Source organism: Homo sapiens, chromosome 5, assembly GCF_000001405.40.
Source record: "Homo sapiens chromosome 5, GRCh38.p14 Primary Assembly".
NCBI lineage: Eukaryota > Metazoa > Chordata > Mammalia > Primates > Hominidae > Homo > Homo sapiens.
The window spans coordinates 36,990,658-37,011,827 of NC_000005.10; the positions used below are offsets into that span (position 1 = coordinate 36,990,658).

General features: G+C 33.5%; 1 protein-coding gene across 8 annotated transcripts in view; it reads left to right on the forward strand.

The window, feature by feature from the left end:
* The window catches only part of NIPBL (NIPBL cohesin loading factor), a 189,645-nt gene that overhangs the window by 113,889 nt on the left and 54,586 nt on the right, over window positions 1-21,170 (forward strand). For 7 of the 8 annotated variants that reach the window (NM_001438586.1, NM_133433.4, XM_017009329.2 and 4 more), the window contains 11 exons: window positions 4,965-5,147; window positions 9,716-9,913; window positions 10,160-10,231; window positions 10,332-10,421; window positions 12,005-12,108; window positions 12,604-12,690; window positions 15,700-15,931; window positions 16,666-16,817; window positions 17,351-17,431; window positions 17,966-18,066; window positions 19,430-19,568. In NM_001438586.1, the coding sequence (NP_001425515.1) occupies window positions 4,965-5,147; window positions 9,716-9,913; window positions 10,160-10,231; window positions 10,332-10,421; window positions 12,005-12,108; window positions 12,604-12,690; window positions 15,700-15,931; window positions 16,666-16,817; window positions 17,351-17,431; window positions 17,966-18,066; window positions 19,430-19,568 (1,439 nt within the window). The remainder of the gene's footprint in view (window positions 1-4,964; window positions 5,148-9,715; window positions 9,914-10,159; window positions 10,232-10,331; window positions 10,422-12,004; window positions 12,109-12,603; window positions 12,691-15,699; window positions 15,932-16,665; window positions 16,818-17,350; window positions 17,432-17,965; window positions 18,067-19,429; window positions 19,569-21,170) is intronic. The other variant, XM_006714468.3, reaches the window with a different exon arrangement.

The following is a 21,170-nucleotide window of genomic DNA, read 5'->3' on the forward strand; positions in this document are numbered from 1 at the left end:
CTTTAGAGCAGTATTTTGAAAATTTGTACTCATGATTTCCATTTGTAGAAATTTTCCAAAGTATGCTTAATAGATTGTTCATACAAATATTGCTTAAAAGAAATGCATTAAGTAGAAACCTTTTTATAAAAACTAAAGTTTGCTGGAGGTATTCTCTCTCCTTTCCATTCTGTCTCTTAAGCCAGCCCAAAGACATAGTTTCTATAGGGTTCTTGTGTCTGTAGAAATAGGTATATGATTTAACAGCTAAGGAGCTAGCAAATATTAATTCTGTAAGACCCTGTGCCTATTTATGAAGAAATAATCTTTGACATGCTAAATTCCCTTTTATATTCTAAAAAAAAAAAATTTAATGAAACCCTTCTTTACAAGGGCCTGATGTGAAATTAAGAGTATGAATACCTACTAGTATTACACCACCAATAAAATGGGTTTTTTAATATGGATCTCTCTGTCTTGCCTATAAAAATATTAGCGTTTTCTGGCTGTAATGTATCAATTTTTAAAAATTCTCTTTTAAACTTATTACAAATTATAGTACAAAGAGAACTAATATCAAAACCCTGAATAAGCCTTAACCTTTCAAAGCTTGGTTCATTCGCTTTTAAAATAAAGAAACCAATTTCCCTCCTACTTTATACAGTTATAAAGACAAAAATGAATGTTGTTATAGTAAAAGCTAAAGTATGTCTGATTTTTTTATATAAAGGAAAGTACAGTCATTCAATTTCTAATTGAATTGAATTTATCTAATGAAGAAAGTAATTTTTTAAAATAAATCTTTTTATGTATCTGTACTTTATATTCAGTGTAGATTTAAAGATATTACTGCCACAATTTATTTTTCTCACCGTGTATACATATCAAGGAAAGAATCATTTGATCCCTGCCCCCTACTTTTCTGTAATGAGTAGTAAGTTGTTACTTACATAATGAGTAGTAAATTGTCATTTACATGCAGTATTGAAAATTTTTTTTTGCCCCCACTTACCTCTAATTGAAGTTGAAGATCCATTTGGTGCTTCTGTGTTATATGGGTAGGTTAGTGGAAGAATTGTCACTGAACTATTCCATTATGCCTGCCCAAGTTTTTTTTTTTTTTTTTTTAGGATTTATAAAATTTGGAGGTTTATGTGAGGCTCTTAGTTTTGTTTCTGAACGTGACTTGTTTCCATTGACCAAAGCTTCACTTCAGTCCCAAAGATTTTATTAGTTTACGTGATTTATTTCTATCTCAGAGTTGTTTTCCTGTTTTAAAAAGAAAACAGAACACATTGTTAGTTATCAAATCAATGATTCTTTTAAGTTTTTTGATGATTTCTGGTTTTAATAATCTGGCAAGTGCTAATTTGAGTGATTTATAATGGAAATCAAAGATTGCTTAAATGTAGCATATCTAGGAGTAAATGTATTCTTTAGCCATATTAAAGCCAGAGTATAGAGTGCACTGTATCTAATGGAATATATGTACAGAAGCTGAAAATTTGATATCTCACAAAATTGTGACTAAATGACATTATTCATCAAGCCAGTAACATAAAGTTTTATGGGAATTCAGACATGCTGATTTAAAGAATAAAGTAGTTAGGACAAAAGAAATTAGGTGAGAGATAATCATAAAGCACTAGTAATCTGAAGTTTTAGGAACAAATAACTTGGCAAGCAACAATAATCCCTAAAATCATCAATCCCTAAAATACATCATCATATACTAAGAGATAGCAAGACTTTATGTTTGCATTTAATGGATTATTAACTAATTCAGGGGAAATAACATAACCAATTATGTCATACAGATAATTTTAAGTACTTGCTGTTTATTCATTTCTGTTAAACTGAGTTAGTTATCCAGATCAGGATCCTTTTGTTTTTTTAAAGACAGGGTCTCATTCTCTTACCCAGGCTGAAGTACGGTGGTGCTAATATAGCTCACTGCAACCTGGAACTCCTGAGCTGAAATGATCCTCCCATCTCAGCCTCCAAATGGCTGAGTTATCCAGATCCTTGATGTCATATTGAAGATCTCAGGCCTGAATATGGGAAAGTCATGCATTTTATTTATTTATTTATTTATTTATTTATTTATTTATTTATTTATTTATTGAGATGGAGTCTCGCTGTGTTGCCCAGGCTGGAGTGCAGTGGCGTGATCTTGGCTCACTGCAGACTCCGCCTTCCGGGCTCATGCCATTCTCCTGCCTCAGCCTCCCGAGTAGCTGGGACTACAGGCACCCGCCACCATGCCTGGCTAATTTTTGTATTTTTAGTAGAGACGGGGTTTCACTGTGTTAGCCAGGATGGTCTCGATCTCCTGACCTCGTGATCCACCCACCTCGGCCTCCCAAAGTGCTGGGATTACAGGTGTGAGCCACTACGCCTGGCCCCTTTATTTCTTATCTTTGTAATCAAGCAACCTGGCGGAGTCCATTTATAAAGAGCTTCATGAAATGGAAGAAAGGATGTGGTTAATTCAGAAAATGTGTGAAACCTGTGGAATAGACAATTCTGTTCAAAATGAAACAGCGTTCACTTTTGGAGGATGATACATGTAGAGACATTGATTCCTGGATTTTTTTTCTTTAAAGTTGGAGCACCTTCAGAAATAAAACATTTGGCCTTTGAATTACATTGTTTAAACTTTCAAAGTTTTACAGAAGTTAAAATGATCTAGAGGATACTAGAGAGGTCTTAATTGATAGTATTCTTGTTAATGTAGGGAATAAGAAAGGGTAAACTACTGTTGATAAATGTTGATACCTGCTTTATTGGATATAAGGCATAGGTTATCTGTGTTTGGCTATTGTGAGTAATTTTTTTAAAAAGAAGGAGCAGAGTCCTTGCTCTGGGAACATAATCCATTGCAGAGAGAGCACAAGAACTAGTACATATTTTAACCTTTGATTATTGTGTTAATTAACAAGGAAAATATTAATTCTGGGATATTAGTGTTGAGTCAGTGTGTCTGTGATGTGAACTTAATCTAAGCAAAACACTTAGGTACATTTGCTTTAAAAAAAAAAATCCCGTGATGGATGAAAGGCCAAATACTTTGGGTTATCTGTATTTATAAACCTATGAAGATTATAATGTTTCCAATATACTGCAAAAAAAAAAATTTGTATTCTTAGAAATTTTGGAAATGTACTCATTTGTCTATCAAATACAGCAACTCAGGAACTATCCAGGAAGTACATCTGTAAGTGGACATGAGAAATTGTGAACCAGAGTTAGGCAATCAAGAAGCATCTATTGACTATCCATATATATGTACTCAATATTATGTAGGTCATGTGGAAAAGGGAAGATGTATACTCTAAAACATGATTTTCCATCAAAAAGACACATATTAAAGTAGAGATATTCAAAGACTTTATAGTGAGGTGCAGAACGTGTTCAGTTTGGGGCTGAAAATATGCAATGCAAAGCTAAAGTTGACTTCTTTTACTTCTACCAGTATTCTAAAAAAGAGGGCCCTCACTGATAAAACTTAACTAGTTAAATTAAGAAAGCCAATACAGAGAAATATTACCTGATTTCAAAATGACACAGAAGTTAAACTCAACGTTAGTTAGAATTCTTAGCAATGAAGTCTTTGGGATATTACCAGTCATGAGTATTTCATGTTTGTTGGGTAAAATTGTTCCTATGCATGTCCTTAGAAGAACAGAAGCCTAAAAGTTACTGAAATAACTCCTTTGTGATACTGAATAAAAGTTTCAGAAGAATAAAAAAAGGGTTATTCTTTCATTAAGATTAATATTTTATATCTCCATCTTGAGTTATTTGATTGTATCGTCTTAATATTCTTGATAGCTATTTACTTTTCTGTCATGATTTTTATTCTTTACGTAAGCACTATTATCATTTGCATGTTATAAAGGATAGTGTTAATGTTGATTGTAAGTTACTAATATTTCCTGCTATAAACCACAAAGGTACTCTTTGCTTCCAATTCATAAAATTTATCAGGTAAGATTTTTCTTTTTATACTTCCACTCAAAGTAAGTAAAGGAAGCTAAAATTGCCATCTTTAGTAATCATTAAGGACAAATTATCCGAATAAGTAGCTTTTGCTACTTCTACTTTATTTTTTAAACTATCAGGAAGATAGTCCCAGTTTATTTCTTCATAAGAACTATTTGTGTATGTGTTTGTGTGTATGTGTGTAGGATTAAGTAGTATAATGGCTCTTATTGTCTTGTCTTCTTTTTTATTGCCTTGACTCTTGTGGGAAGATATGAACTTGAATTTCTAACTTGAAATGTACTTTTCAGTTACAGACATTTATATTTTAAAAGATTTGTCATCTATTTATCCTGTGTTACATGTTTCTCTCGTCTTCAGTTAAATTGTATATATTGATTTGTCTGTTTGAAGAAGTTCTCCGTAATGCTAAAGGCATTACCATGCCCTCAAATAGACAGTAATAGGTAAAAGCATATGTATAGCTCTTGTCTCAGCCACCATACACAACTGCCAAGATCATAGAGAAGGAGGAGGAGTGGTAAGTGTCTTCCAACACTTCTCACTTGTATTGAGGGGTAACATTAGATTCAAACTACTTCAGACCTACACAAAACAAAATTTATGTACTACCAAGAATGTCAAGTGTACCTCTTACCACAAATCCACTTGCTAATGTCAGTGAATCTCTAGTTTCAGAAAGTTTTTAGTCAGTGCAAATTGAAGGCATTATATCAAAAATGTATTATATAATTACCCTTCATTTTTATGGTGGTGTCATGTTTTTAAAGTCATTACATAATTATATGTATATATGTACACATACATATATATTAACTATATTGTCACTTTAGGGTTAAGAGTATTATAGTTGTGTTTTATTAAAATAAACAGTTGATTTAGAAAACAAATACTAATATTTTTATTATGCTAACTTAGTTAAAATTTTCCTTTTATCTTCAGATTTACATTTTTTTTTTAAATTTACCTTTCATTAATAGGTAGTATAGATCAATCAGTGTTAAAAGAATTACCCCCTGAACTCCTGGCAGAAATTGAGTCCACCATGCCACTTTGTGAACGTGTGAAAATGAACAAACGCAAGCGTAGCACAGTTAATGAAAAGCCAAAATATGCTGAAATCAGTTCAGATGAAGATAATGATAGTGATGAAGCTTTTGAATGTAAGTATCACAGAACTCTTTGTTATTATTTTAGAGTTTAAAAGCAGGTTGATGTGTTTTTCTCATTTATAATTTGGGGGTTTAGCAAAAGCACAGTCACCTTAATTCTTAATAACACAGTATAGTAAGTTTTTTTCTCTATACTTTAAAAATGCGTGAAAGATGAGATCAGTTGGCACCAAGAAAAAAATATTAAATAAGCTACAATTAATTTTAAAACACAGGTAGGTATGTGTCTGTATGCATTCAGCAAACATTTATTGAGCTCCTATTATATGCTAGACACTGAGAGTAAAAATGCAAATAAGATATGGCCCCTGTCTTCAAAGAGCCTTCAGTCTAATGGGGGAAATATGTAAATAAATAATTGCAGTATGCTGATAAAAGTACAATGATAACAGTAAATCCAGGGTGCTATGGGAACACATTGGATTGGCATCAAAATCAGAGTGGGGGCTCAGGGAATGCTTACTGGAAGAGGTGACACTTGAGTTGAGTCTTGAAGGACACGTAGGAGATAGCCAGATGAAGAAATATTTAAAACCATACTATCACTAAATTATGAATGGATTAGCCACATTGCAGATTATCTGTGTGGTTTGGACCTGGCTTCTCCTTTTTGCCCAGCTGTGTCCTGGAATTCCTCCCTTGTTTCACTGTTTTCCAGAGCTGGCTTCTTCACTACACAGCTACCTCTCTACAACACTGTGATCACCTGTCTTTGCACTAGACTTGCTATACCTCGCCTGTCTTCCTACTGGTCCACTGAAAAAGTTCTTCTCTTTTATCCCTATCTTCCTTCTTCTGGAGCAAGAGAATTGAGCCTAGCCAAGAGGGGTCAGCAACCTTGTTTGACTTAAACGGCATTCAGTGGAAACAGACTATGGGAGATCTTCACTTGTGTGCCAACTGACTTAGTCATAATGACCAAAAGAAGTGGGAAGACCACCAGTGTTCTACTTTTTCCACCTAGTGTCCATAGATTGAGGTGTGACAAGCAAGGGCAGGAAGGACAGATGCATGCTGCCATTTTTAAATGTATATTGCTGATGGAAGCCCTTCACCTCCTCCAAAGTTTTTAATGTTAATTTACTGATTTTTTTTTAATTGTGAGCTCTTGAGCTATGAGCAGTAGACTATGAATACTGAACAAATCTGAAAAAAGTTTTAAAATTGAAATAAAATATACAGCAAACTTAACATTTAATCATGTATAATTGTTATAATTGTATTATGAAATGTATTGACACACAGTATATTAAAATGGCTAAAGTTAATTTTTTTTATTACAATCAGATATTTTGGTCATATGGGGACGTGGTTAGCTCTGGAAGATGAGAAGATAAAAGAAACATGGGGCCCAGGAACTCATTCCCTTTAATATACATGCCTTACCACTCTGCCTCTTTCCCTCTAATAAACATATCACCCATATCTAGAACAGCCGAGAAGGAGGAGTCCCTGAATTCCAGTTTGATTTCAAATGACATTTCAAATCCAGTTGACTGAAAGTGACTGCCTCCATTACTAAATTGCAAAGATTTCTGAAGCTGTCTCACAGTTAAGTGGAAAGGATAACATAATCAAAAATTTCCACCAAGTGTAAAATAGTGGAGAGTAGAGCCACACATCCCTCATGTTTGTCACCAATGCAGCCACCATTCTTTTCCCCTTGCTTTCTATCATGAAAGCTATTGTCTCATCTTATGGAGGCACATAGCTTCGTTATAAAGCCATGGACCCTGTTATATCTATGCCCAACTATATCGAAAGGTAATATTTATTTTAAAGAACCTAAGCTTCACACACTGCTAGAAGAAAGGAAAGTTTCTCTGGATTTTTAAAGAGATGTCAGGAGTAGCTTCCTGTTTTTCTTCACTTATTTCTATACAAGTAACTATAGAAAAGTGGACACTGGAGGCACCGATTTGAATGGTGAAAGAAGTCCAAATGATTGTTCACATAAACAACCAAATGGTCACACCACAACAGAAACAGTGTATTGAAAATATAGCACAATACAAAATGTGAAACTATTATGAGAACGTTAAGTTGCAAGCATTATGCTGCTGAGAGAGAGAAAAAAAAATTTTTGAAACTTAGCAGTTTAATCAAATTGGTTTCTCAAAATCTAAAACCAAGGAAATAGTTTTGTTGAAGGTTAGGGGAAAATGTTGAAGGATAATTTTGAAAGTTGGGGTACACAGATTTGGATGGCCATAGCACAAATATAAGGTCACTGGGTGCCTGGGGAAAATGGAGAGAGGGGTGATGTAAGAAGCTCAAGAGATACATAGGTGAAATTTGGAAAGAGAAGATAGAGAACACCCAAGTCATGTTTTACGTACCTCTCTTTTGAGTCCTTTCCCCTCCCCTGCTTATTCCAGGGTAATGAGAGAAATGGAGAAAGAATAAGCTAACCACAATGAGTTGGTATCCTAATAACCTCATTATAACACAATGTGTTATGGAAGTTGTTTTTTTTTTAATTTGTCACCCCATTTTTATCTAAATTGTCTAAAATTTGATGAATGTGAAATAAAGATTTACAAGATCTGTGGATAGTTACCACCAATACAGCATATTCTATGTAATTACAAACCACTATAAGATTCTTCAAGCATTTTCTACTCATAGGATTGAATGCTTGAAACAGATTTGTTATGAAATTAATTAAAATGTACAAAGACTAAAGCAGGTCATATTCAAGGTTGTAAAATACTAATTTCTGGCGCAGTAGCTCATGCCTGTAATACCAACACTTTGGGAGGCCGAGGTGGGAGGATTGTTTGAGCCCAGGAGTTTGAGACCAGCCTGAGCAACATAGCAAGACCCCTTCTCTGCCCACATAAGAAAATAGTGCTTTCTGAAGAAGTTTGCTTATTAGTTGTCATCCCTTGTAATGTAGGCATTTCAGTACTTGTGAAAAAAACATCTAAGGAATTATATATAGAAATGACCTGTTTCTCTGTCACACATACACACACCCTACTTATATTAGTGTATGAAACAAGTTGTCACTAAAGGAATGTACTAGAGCATACTGTAATCATAAAAGAGGAACAGTCCTATCACTCTTCACATACGTCATAACCAAATTCATACCTAATTATGAAGAAAATCTCAGATATTTATATCCATTTACATTTGTGCTTTACATGAACCTTTTTGCTATCCAAGCCTGTGACTGTAAAGAAGAGGAAACAAAATGACCTTTTCCTGCCATGTTGTCCATAGATTAGCTAGAAGAGTCCAGAACCAGAAACCAACCTAGATTCTTGAACAGGAGTAGTTAGGGTAGCATTTAAGAATAAGATTAGACAGAGTATAGACATTTATTACCCACACATGAAGACACTGGCACAAGCATAGAGTGCCTGGGCCAGAGGTTGGCATCCTTACATCTAAGCCAAGTAGGGGACTTAAGCAAAACATTTGTCTTAAGTATTTGTGTATTTATCATAGTTAGGGATTCAGAAAAGAGCAGTTGCTAGTCAAATAACAGACTAGAAAGTTTATCATTGTCAGCAACAAGTGATCACAACAACAACCAGTATATGATTTCAAGGTAGGACACATCACTTCTCTGCCCTGGTTTTAACTTGGTGGTACCTACTGCATCCTAGAACAGACATGGTAAATATTTGTCACTTATAGTGCCCCCCAGCTCTTACTGCAGACATTTCTAATCAGTCTTTCTTGCTGAACTATGATGCTTTCTCAGGGCTTGGGGTTATTTTCAGCATAATGTTCTAGGCAGCTATTGCCAGTTGATGAGAGTTGATGTGTTAGATGAAATCTGTTTGCCAGGTCTGCCTAAAGGCTCCTGTCAGTACGGGTGATTTTAGCAGAATGCTAAAATGATGGGGAAAAGATTGAAGGTAACATACATAATCATGCTTATGAAGCGTGCATAAGCTTAGAAACTTTTCTTGGGTTTAAGCAAGACTTTTGTTGAAGAACTGAATTCATTATGTGAGTATTTACAACTGTACAGGTTTTTTCTGTCTCAGTAGGCTTGTCATGTTAGGTCACCAGGGCTTATGGAATTTATCGCTGAGTTGTGGGTTTAACTTAGCTATTAATTGATGATGTACATGGTTACCCATATTCTGTAACACTTTCTCAAAAGTTGACTTTTCCTCCAAACCCTGCTCCCCATCAGTAATCTAAGTGCTTTAAGGTGGTTCTGTTTTTCATCTAATTCCTAAATATAGTTTGTTTTACAGCCTCAATTAATCTTGAAGTTTAGGTATAACCCTTACTGACTTACTGAATAACTGTCCTTGAAGTGAACACTGTAGTTTAATTTCAAGAACCTTCCTCTCTGTATTTATTAGCAGTAAACACTGAGTTCATGTAAAGATCTTTAAATCTGGGTAGATTGTGCTAAAATTAGTGATACTTTTTCTATATCATAACTTAAACTTCTGGATAGACAAAATCACTGAATTTCCTAGACCCTATGGAATGAAGATTTTTTTCCCCATGTGATTCATTTGTAAAGTACAAGTTTTAATCATCTTTTTAAATGAGGTAAATTATTTGTCATGGGGATTTGCTTCTAGCCTCTAGGAAACGACATAAAAAAGATGATGATAAAGCTTGGGAATATGAAGAGCGTGACAGAAGAAGCTCTGGGGATCATAGGAGAAGTGGCCACTCTCATGAAGGAAGAAGGAGTTCAGGTGGTGGTCGTTATCGAAACCGAAGTCCGTCAGATTCTGACATGGAAGATTATTCTCCTCCTCCCAGCCTTAGTGAGGGTAATTCATCAGTGTCAACGGATTTCTTACATAAACCAATTTAAATTTAGGGCTTTAACTTTGAAGAATATTTTATATCTTTTTATGAGTTAATAACTAATTTTCAATTAAGACAAAAATACTTAGTTTCTATGTGCAGTGATTATCGTTTAAGTCTTTAACGTTCAGGAAAAAAACTAGAAACAAAAATGGAATTATTTTAAGTTGTCAGTCCTGCATTTCAGTACTTCTTTTTGTTCGTTTTAGTTGCTAGGAAAATGAAGAAAAAAGAAAAACAGAAGAAAAGGAAAGCATATGAACCAAAACTAACACCTGAAGGTAACACGTTAGTTTATTTAATTTGTCTTTATTCATATTCTTCAGCTTCACATGTCTACTTGTAATGTGAGAATAATGAATATATTTTTCTCTCTTGCAGAAATGATGGACTCTTCAACTTTTAAGAGATTCACAGCCTCAATAGAGAATATTTTGGATAATTTGGAAGATATGGATTTTACTGCGTTTGGTAAAATCAACTTAAAATACATTTACACATACTCTAAGTGTCTTAACTGTATCCTCTAGAGTAACTCAGTTACTCTAGTGATGTGTCCTACCTTGAAATCATATACTGGTTGTTGTTGTGATCACTTGTTGCTGACAATGATAAACTTTCTAGTCTGTTATTTGACTAGCAACTGCTCTTTTCTGAATCCCTAACTATGATAAATACACAAATACTTAAGGCTTAACTCAGTTACTCTAGAGGATACAGAGGCATACTCTGTGCTATCAAGAAACTTGAAATCTAGTTGTAAAGTCAAATCTAGTCTGTTACCAAGAAATTAAAAACTTTAGTACAAAACTCAAGTATATATTAATCAAGTCTGGATAGTATCTAAAGAATCATGAGTAAGTGAGAGTAATTTAAAAAGTCTTTATGCAGGTGAGGAGGCTTGAAAAGGCCCTGTATAATGAAGGTACTGATAGGAGCATATATGCAGAAATAAGCATCTATTCTTCTGTTCATTTATTCTAATGACCAATATTTATTGAATACTTACTGTATGCCAGTAGTATGTTAAGTGCTGGAGATGTAAAAATAACTAAAACCCAAACACCTGGCTTTAGGGAATACAGATTCTAATATGGAAAACAAAATAGTAAACCAGTTAGAATACAGTAGGATTAATGTTATATTCATGTATTACTTTTACAATGACATAAAGATTACATCTATAAATATTAAAATGTTTATAAAAACACTGCTTGCAATGTATAGAGCTATTCTTAACAATCTTATGCCACCTTCAGCTGGTAAAGTAAGTATTTGTTTTGTGAGAATTACTTGCCTGAGTATCATTGTGTTTGCTGATTATTTAGAATGTCAGTTTCATCTTTTTTAAAACTTTACAGTTCTGTGCTGAGAAATTGTCTTCTGTATCATTTAGGGTCCAAAAGTACAAAGGGCACTCTCAAAATAGGATAATATGAGGAGGAGTTATTTACAAAGAGACCAGTTAAAAAGATGGAGGCAAAATAATACCAGAACCCAGGGTTAACAGCCTTAAACCAAAAGAGTGAGGATACAGAAAAGTCACCAGAACTCATTCTGCAGGAAAAAAAGTTGTAGAGTAGGCTGCCTTGAAAGAAGCAATACCTTTTGGTCAGGGGACAGAGCCAGCCTGAGGAGACCTTGTAAGCAAAGAGTAAGAGATATAAATACTTTGACCTTACACTCCTCTTTGATCTTCTAACAGGGCACCCTACTGGCCAAACCCAAACAAAAGCCAGAGGGCATGGGAGACTCTTGATGTAGTCCATTCAGGTCAGCCTCCTGAGGCAGAGAATGTGGTTGAGAAAGAGTCAAGAGTATATCTAAAGTAGTAAAGATAAGATATCTATCTCATCTTCCCATTTCAGTCATAAATCTGACTTCAATTTCTGTCCTTTTTCATTCAGGGTTTACTTGAGGTTTATATATAGAGGCGTCTTAGGTTATTTGTTTAGTTTGCATGTCTAAAAATTTTATTAGAAAGTTAAGCTTGACATTTTGAACTATTTTATTTACCTAAACTTTGTTTGTGTTTGTTTGGCTTGATTTTGCAGGTGATGATGATGAAATTCCTCAGGAACTGCTCTTAGGAAAACATCAGCTTAATGAACTTGGCAGTGAATCTGCTAAAATAAAAGCAATGGGTATAATGGATAAGGTATCTCACCAAAGTAAAATTTATAAATTTACTTCATAGAAACATTTGAAATTAATTTAAGGTTTTCAGGGTAAATTATAAAATTTATGTAAAGTAAATAGTAAAAAGAAAACTCATTGTTGACTTCTGAGAGTCTAAATGAGTTTTTTTGTTTTTTTACAAAAGAAAAAAGTATTCTGCAGATTATTCTAAAGAGAATCATATTACTGCATTGAAAGAGGCATGGACTTTAATTTTTTCCAGAGTTTTTTTTTTTCATTTTCTCAAATATTTAGATTATTTAAATGCAGAAATATATTAAATTTTTCTTTGACATTTGCTTTAGTCATTTAGGGTCGTTGAGTAGAAGTTCTAAGTGGGAAAGTTTTCTTACTCTTTAAGAGGGTGACAATGCTATTTCCTCCATAGCTCAAAGGGAATAATTGTACAGATTGTTTCTTGAATAATATATAACTTTTACCAACGATTGATAAAGAATTTATATTGCTATTTTAGCTTTCAACTGACAAAACTGTGAAAGTCTTAAATATCTTGGAGAAGAATATTCAGGATGGGTCAAAGCTTTCCACTTTGTTAAATCATGTAAGTTTAAGATCCATACTGTTAATTTTACCCTTAATGTTATTAAGATCTATAGTAGTCCCCCACTTCTCTATTGTTTCATTTTCCATTTTCTCAGTTACCTACAGTCAACTGTGATCTGAAAGTAGGTGAATAATTTTTATTACAGTCTATTGTTCTGTTTTTTATTGTCATTAATCTCTTCCCATGCCTAATTTATAAATTAAGTTTTATCTTAGGTATGTATGTATAGGAAAAAACATAGTGTATATCGGGTTTGATAGTATCCATGGCATGCACTCGAGGTCTTGGAATCTATCATCTGTCCATTAGGGAGGGACTAATGTGAATTTTTTCACAAATGACTCTCATGTGGGGGAAATTTCACATTTCGTTAATTTGAGCATGTTACCATGAATTACTAGTTACATTCATTAGCATTGCTAGTAGAACTTCACTTTTAGTAATTCAGAATTAATGTTACACATTGTCAATTCACAGCTTTGCCATAAAGTAAGAATAATAAAGACATGAAAATGTTTGTCAATTTAAGGGGCAGTTCTTTAGTTTATGCTCTTCCTTATGTAAGTATATGAATGTTTAAATTTTGTTTTTGAGTTATGAGATGATAGTAGGTAGTAATTCTTTTTGTTGAGCTTCCCTGAAGAAATAACATAGTTAGAAACCTTATGATTTCCTAATATATACTAATTAATATACATTACTCCTTATATACCGTTTTTATACCTACCTCAAAGGGTTGTTCAAAGGATTAAAGAATTAATTCATGTAAAGCACTTAGTGTCTGGCACACTTTAACTTCTCAGTAAATGTTAACTCCAGCTGTTACTATATTTTAATATGCTTATATCAAAAGCAGTAGCAACATGCTTGCAATGGTTTATTAATTGAGTGAAGCAAATTTCCTGGGATTTGCCTTCCTAGCATTGTAGTGGACTATGAATTATATGTGCATTCAAATTGATCTTGATATCTCTGACATTAATGAATGCAAACACTAATGCTTATAGGCATTTAGTAAGTTCTGAGTTGATAAATTTTCTTTCTCTCCCTTTTTTTTTTTTCTCCCCTGATAGAGCCAGGGTCTTGCTCTGTCCCCTGGGCTGGAGTGCAGTGCTACAGTCATAGCTCATTGTAGTCTGGAACTACTGGGCTCAGGTGATCCTCCCACCTCAGCCTCCCAAGCTGCTGGAACTACAGGCATGCACCACAATGCCTGGCCAATTATTTAAAATGTTTTGTAGAGCCAAGCGCTCACTCTGTTGCTCAGACTGATCTCAAACTGCTGGCAACAAACAATCCTCCTGCCTTGTCCTCCCAAAGCTCTGGGACCACAGATGTGAGGCACTACACCTGGCCAAATTTTCTTTATTTTTAAAAGCCTGATTATAAAAGTAACATATTTATTGTAGAAAATTTCCAAAACACAGAAAGCACCAAAAAAGCTATATTCTAATCCAGCAATGACCATTTTGAACACTTTTGATATATATACTTCTCATGTATACGTATGTAGTATATATATTTAATATACAAGCACTAGATTTTATTTTATCTTATGAGGGAAATGCTCTTGGTGTTTACAAAAGCCACAGGATTGCTAGGGGATCTACATGGAATAAAACAAGCTTGTCCAACCTGTGGCCCACTGGCCCGTGTGGCCCAGGACAGATTTGAATGCAGCCCAACACAAATTCGTAAACTTTCTTGAAACATGAGGATTTTTTGCAATTTCTTTTTACGCTCATCAGCTATCGTAATTGTTAGTGTATTTTATATGTAGTCCAAGACAATTCTTCTTCCACTGTGGCCCAGGGAAGCCAAAAGATTGGACACTTCTGGAATAAAATATGTAGAAAAATAATCTCAGGTGGTTGTTTTCTGGATTATTAAATATATTTATATTTTTAAGTGCCCTCTCTTTACTTTTTGCATCACAGAAACAAAGGCTTAGAGAAACCTAAAGTAACAATCTACTCCATTGTTAGTCTACAAGTTACTTAAATACTTCGCCAAGAAATTGTGATAATCATCATCAGAAATCTAGAGTTCTGGAGAGCTGGCTGACTCAGTCTTAAGGAAATTACTTTCATCCCTAAAAACCGTAACAGTATTTAATATGTTGTGGATAGCCTTAACGTTTGGCATGAATCATGAGCCTCCTTAACTGACTCTTCCAAACAAACAGCAATGTTCGCATCAAAGACAAGCTACTTTATCTTTCCTTTGTGAGGTTTTAGGCATTACTGAACAGAAAGCCCTGTCTGCTTTACATATTATATATCGTGTTTTTGTTCGTTTTCCTAGGGTATAAGCTTTGAATTGGAAGTAGTCCTGTAATATAGTTTATATTTCATAACTAAAGATGTGATAGAAGGATTTTTACTTTAACAGTGAGATTACTCCTAATTTGCAATGTCAAGTTGCTGATGTGTAAATTAAAATAAAGTCTTCTGTCAGTTCTTAAATTATCCATTTAAAAAAAGTCTTCATTAGTCTGCATATTACTACTTTTTAATCTCAGTTTCAGAAACTGTGTTGTCGAAAAGCAGGTGTTAGGAATGATTGTCAATTTTAGTACTAAGTAAGATTTTACCCTTTGTCATTAATTTTTGCTTTGTTATCACAGCAGCAAGCAGAATTTATAAAGTCTTTAAACTATCATAATGTTTATACCCAAAACACAAAATTAATTTATATGCAGTTAAAGTCATAAGCTAAATCTTAAATTCGGATAAAGCACACAAAGGATATAAAGATAATTATAACTTTGTCAGTAGGGTGTCATCTAGTGGTGAAATGAGGTAGAGTATATCACGTTTGAAAACATTGAAACACAAATCGTGCTCAAAGTAGTATCAGTATTTGTACCTCATTCTGGATATTCTTAAAAGAATTAACACACATCATAACACTTTTCCACCAGTGAAAATCAAATCATAATTTTAATGTATATTTTAAACCTATAAATGTGTTTATTTCCATTTCATTAACAATACTGTTTTACAGAATAACGATACTGAAGAAGAAGAAAGGTTATGGAGAGACCTTATTATGGAGAGAGTTACAAAATCAGCGGATGCTTGTCTTACAACTATCAACATTATGACATCCCCTAACATGCCAAAAGCTGTGTACATTGAGGATGTAATTGAAAGAGTTATACAGTACACTAAATTTCATTTGCAGAATACACTTTATCCTCAGTATGATCCTGTTTACAGATTAGATCCTCATGGAGGTTAGTTCGTATAATATCAAAATTATTGTAAATTTTTGCCATGTTAGATGAGTCAAAATAGGACTTAAAATGGCACCAAAATTTTTGAATCATATAACTTGTAATAAACACTGATTTTGATTATGGATTTGACTAGAATATAGTACTTGTTCAATTATAATTTCTTTAGGAACATTTATATATAATAGAAGTTATTTCTACTTGTCAGGGAAAATCTCAGAAAATACTACCTTCTGGTTTCATTTATCACTTCGCCCTAATTTTACCCAAAATAGCAGTTGTCTACAAAATGGATTGATTCAAGATAAATACTCCTTTTCTTGTTCTTAACCTTTATAAATGAGCAATGAAATGTATACATTTGAAGGGAGTAAGGTCATACCTAAGTATAGTTCCTGAATAATGAACTTGACGATCTATTGTATAACTGCAAATTAATTTAAAGGGAAATATAATCTTACTATCCTGCTCCAATGGAGAAAAGTAGAAATCAAGATAAAATAATATTTTAGATACAGGGATTTAATAGCTGCTGAAGATTATCTGATGCAAGAATGTTTCTAATAGAATATCTCTAGAGAGTAATTTTCTATTTTAATAAATAAAAAGCTTTATCTTCCAGGTTCTGTAGCTAGAAAATTGTGTTCTCTTAATTCAAAAAACAGTTTGAGTACTGTTTATTAAAAATTATTAAAAGTTGATGTTTTCCTTATCTTGAATTTGTTTCATTTTAGGAGGCTTATTAAGTTCAAAAGCAAAACGGGCTAAATGTTCTACCCATAAGCAGAGAGTAATAGTAATGCTTTATAACAAAGTTTGTGACATTGTTAGCAGCTTATCAGAATTGCTAGAGATACAACTTCTTACAGACACAACAATTCTTCAGGTAAGATTTTTTGGTAAGCATTTTGTATATTTCTAAACTAAATGATTAAGTCTAGTATAACCTAGCTCACTCAATAATAAGACCAGCACTATATTATCAAGAATTTTTCCTGTTAAGAGTATGTTATATCTAAATCGAAGAAATAAAACTTCAGGAGTTTTAAAAAGACATTTTATCAGGAGACAAACAAATGTAGTGTAAATTCCAAACTCTAAATTCTTTGAAAGATGGGTTATATTTTCATGCAGATATTAAATGTTTGTTATTTCTTTATATTCCTGTGACATTTGTAAACTCAAAAAGTAGAGATTAGAGGACTGATAGCTATGATACAATGTACCTGTTGTATATGCTAACGTGCTTTGAGGATGAAGGGAAACAGAGAAAAGAATAGATGCTGATTAGGTGGGGAAAAGAAAAAATGCTTTCTTAGTGTTTTCCAGTAAGCTTATGAATGTATTGGAATTTAGTAAGATAGAATGTTACTGAAATCAACTAAAGGTGTATACTACTTACTCTTCTTTTTTAAACAGGTTTCATCTATGGGAATAACACCATTTTTTGTGGAAAATGTCAGTGAACTACAGTTGTGTGCCATTAAGTTAGTCACTGCAGTAAGTATAATCAATTTGTATTTTTAGTTACCCCACAAATAAAACAATATTGATGTCATTTAATCCAAATTTCCAAAAAATAATGAAGATACCTGGTTTTCAGTACATTCATTTCAATCTAAGGACTATTTTACTAAGTCTTATTAGACTTTATTAATTGAGGATTTATTTTTCTGTTTGGTTAATTTGTTGGGTTATTCTGTTTTTGTCACATTTAAAACACTTCCAAATATTTGCAAATATTTCAGCTAATAATTCCTTGATATTTATAATAAAGTTAGAATGGTTTAAAATCATTTAAATTCTTGTCTGACTGCCTATAGCCAAGATTTCATAGTCCTTTAAATGAAACTAGTGTACTCTTTGACTTCTATAAGAATGTTATAATTAATGATAGGAAAATAGAGCAGCTTACCTTAGATACTGAAAACATTTTCATTCTAAATGGCAGGTAATTTTTTAAATCACATGATATTATTTTTTGGTTTGTTTTCTATTATAAGTTTAACTTGGAATCTTATAATTACTAAACAGGTATTCTCAAGATATGAAAAACATAGGCAGTTAATTTTGGAAGAAATTTTTACTTCACTTGCAAGATTACCAACCAGCAAGAGGAGTTTAAGGAACTTCAGGTAATTAATTATAACAGAGGTCAAGTTTAATGAAGAACCACCATTATATTGAACCGTCATACATTTATTCTTCATTTCTGTCTGATTTATATTTTAATAATTAAAAACTAGGCAGTTACATCAGAACAGCATGAAAAATAGATGTGTGAAATAACATGGCATATTTAGGGGGCTTAGAAAACTTCACTGATTCTCAAGGGTAAAGATCTGTGGCAGGGTTTTTCAGTGTTGGCACTGTTGACATTTTAGGCCATATAACACTTTGTTATGCATAGCTGTCTAGTGGAATACAGCATGCTCAGCGGCATCCCTGACCTCTACCCATTAGGTACCAATAGACACCCTTCCTCCTTCCAGTTGTGACAACCAAAATTATTTCCAGGCACTGGAGAGCAAAATCATTCCTTAATATGAACCACTAGTCAGTGAGAAGATCTTGTTCATCCTGTTGGAAATATGGCTCAAAATAATCAGATCAGTTCAAAGAGGATTTTATAAGATTTTTGTGTCTCAAAAAAAAAAATAAAAAACAGAAAGATTAATGGCAGTATGGAGAATAAACATGGGGATTAAATGCTCTTTAATCACTAAGCACACTGTTAATAAGGAGTGTTACCCACTGCTATGGTCAGCATTATTGTCTTTGCCATCATAGATAATCACCGGAATTATCTTAATATTCCTGAGTGATTAAAAGTGTTGACGTGGCATATAGGATTGTTTTTAAGATTGCTTTGAAGGCTTCTTTCTTCTCTAAAATAATTATTTTATCTTAATCATTTTTTGGACTAATTGTATACTGATAAACATTTATTGTCTGTTAAACCTGAAGAAAAACTATGAAGAAAAACTATCAACACATAAAAGAATCCTTAGATTTTTTACAATATCTATAGAACAAAAGATGTGGAAATTGATTTTTTATAATCTGTGCTACCAACACTAGCATAGATGATCAAGAGCTGTGTAGCAGATTTTAATACCAAATGAATAACAGATTCAGCAGATGAATAGCAAAATATATGGGCATTTGGAAACTTTGAAGACTTTTATCATTTTCAAAATCATTTTGAGAAATGTTTAGTAGTAGTATGAATTTTTATCTGCAATGTATGTAAAGCATACAAATTTGTATTAAATACTGTATTTTTCCTTTGACTATTTTAATTATCTCAGCATGCATAGGCATTTACTTGATGTTTTTGCTAACTTACAACAAATAATTACACATAAGAACACAATAAGCACTAAGATCATGCCTAGAAATATTGGCAAACACAGTATCGTGAAACTTTCAGACAATAGATGACATTTAAATGAGATTATCTTGATACTCCATACAAATTTTTTTTCTTCATTAAAGGTTAAACAGTAGTGATATGGATGGAGAACCTATGTATATTCAGATGGTTACAGCACTGGTTTTACAACTTATTCAGTGTGTGGTACACTTACCATCATCAGAGAAGGACTCTAATGCAGAAGAAGATTCAAATAAAAAAGTAAGGAATCTATTAAAGGTTTTACAACTGTACTTTTATTGAAGGAAATACCTATATTCTCTGTCATTCTTATAAAACTGAAGTTCTTTTTTTTTCTTTCTTTTTTTTGAGACGGAGTCTCGCTCTGTCACCCAGGCTGGAGTGCAGTGGCGCGATCTCGGCTCACTGCAACCTCTGCCTCCCGGGTTCAAGTGATTCTCCTGCCTCAGCCTGCTGAGTAGCTGGGATTACAGGCACGCACCACCACGCCCGGCTAATTTATGTATTTTTAGTAGAGACGGGTTTTCGCCATGTTGGTCAGGCTGGTCTCGAACTCATGATCCACCCTCCTCAGCCTCCCAAAGTGCTGGGGTTACAGGTGGGAGCCACTGCGCCTGGCCAAAGCTGATGTTCTTAATTAGAGGTTCATGGCTGGGCTTTAAGGTCCTTTTAGAGCACTAGACATGGTGTTGGAAGAGTTGAGTTCTGGTTCTGTTGTATCTATCAGTCATAAAACATATAAATCATTTTAATCTTTCTGAGTTTATTCTTCAGCTGTAAAATGGAGGTGATAATACTTATCAAAACTGCTATACCAGGTTGTAAGGGTCAGTGAGATATTAAATGTGAAAGTGAATAATACAATATGTAATATATATGCATGTTGAGTATCCCTGATCCAAAAATCTAAAATCGGAAATGCTCTAAAATCTGAAACTTTTTGAGTACCAAAATGATATTCAAAGGAAATATTCATTAGGGCATTTTGCATTTCATATTTTCAGATTAGGGGTACTAAACCCATATATAAATACATAACATAGGATTATAATTAACATTAAATTCATGTGGAAAATGAGTTTATTCCCTCCCTAATAGGTAGCTCATGCCGACGATTTGCGTTTGGTTTTACAGCTTTTGGAGATGTTTAGAATTTTTCCAAGTGTATACTTTTATCTCAACAAAAGTTTAAGAGAAACAAATAATTTTGTTTATCTACTGTTAGAGCCAAGCATATGTGTGTATCTTTTTGGGAATAATAATAAATATGTAATAATTATTAATAACTGGACAGGCACTTTGGCTCATGCCCATAATCCCAGCACTTTGCGAGGTCAAGGTGGGCAGATTGCTTGAGGCCAGGAGTTCAAGACCAGTTGGGCAACATGACAAAACTCTGTCTCTACAAAAAATACACAAATTAGCTGGTCATGTTGTTGTGCACCTGTCATCCCAGCTACTCAGGAGGCTGAAACAGGAGGGTCGATTGAGCCTTGAGAGATCGAGACTCAGTGAGCCGAGATTGTGCCACTGCACCCTGGCCTGGATGACAGAATGAGAACCTGTCTAAAAATGAATGAATGAAAGAAAGAAAGTCAAATACTCTCTGAAAAGTTCAGATCCTCTTTATTTCTCCCATCCCAATCCCATTGTTTGTCTCTAGTCTTCCTTTCCTAACCATTGGTGACAAGTATCATGAATATGTTTCTTTCTTTCTTTTAATTATTTTTATGTAAATTTGATATACAATTATTTCATTTTTACGTAAAGGACAGTGACATATTTACAGCTAATTTTTTCACTCAACATCGCTTTTAATACATACAACTCATACTAGATTGT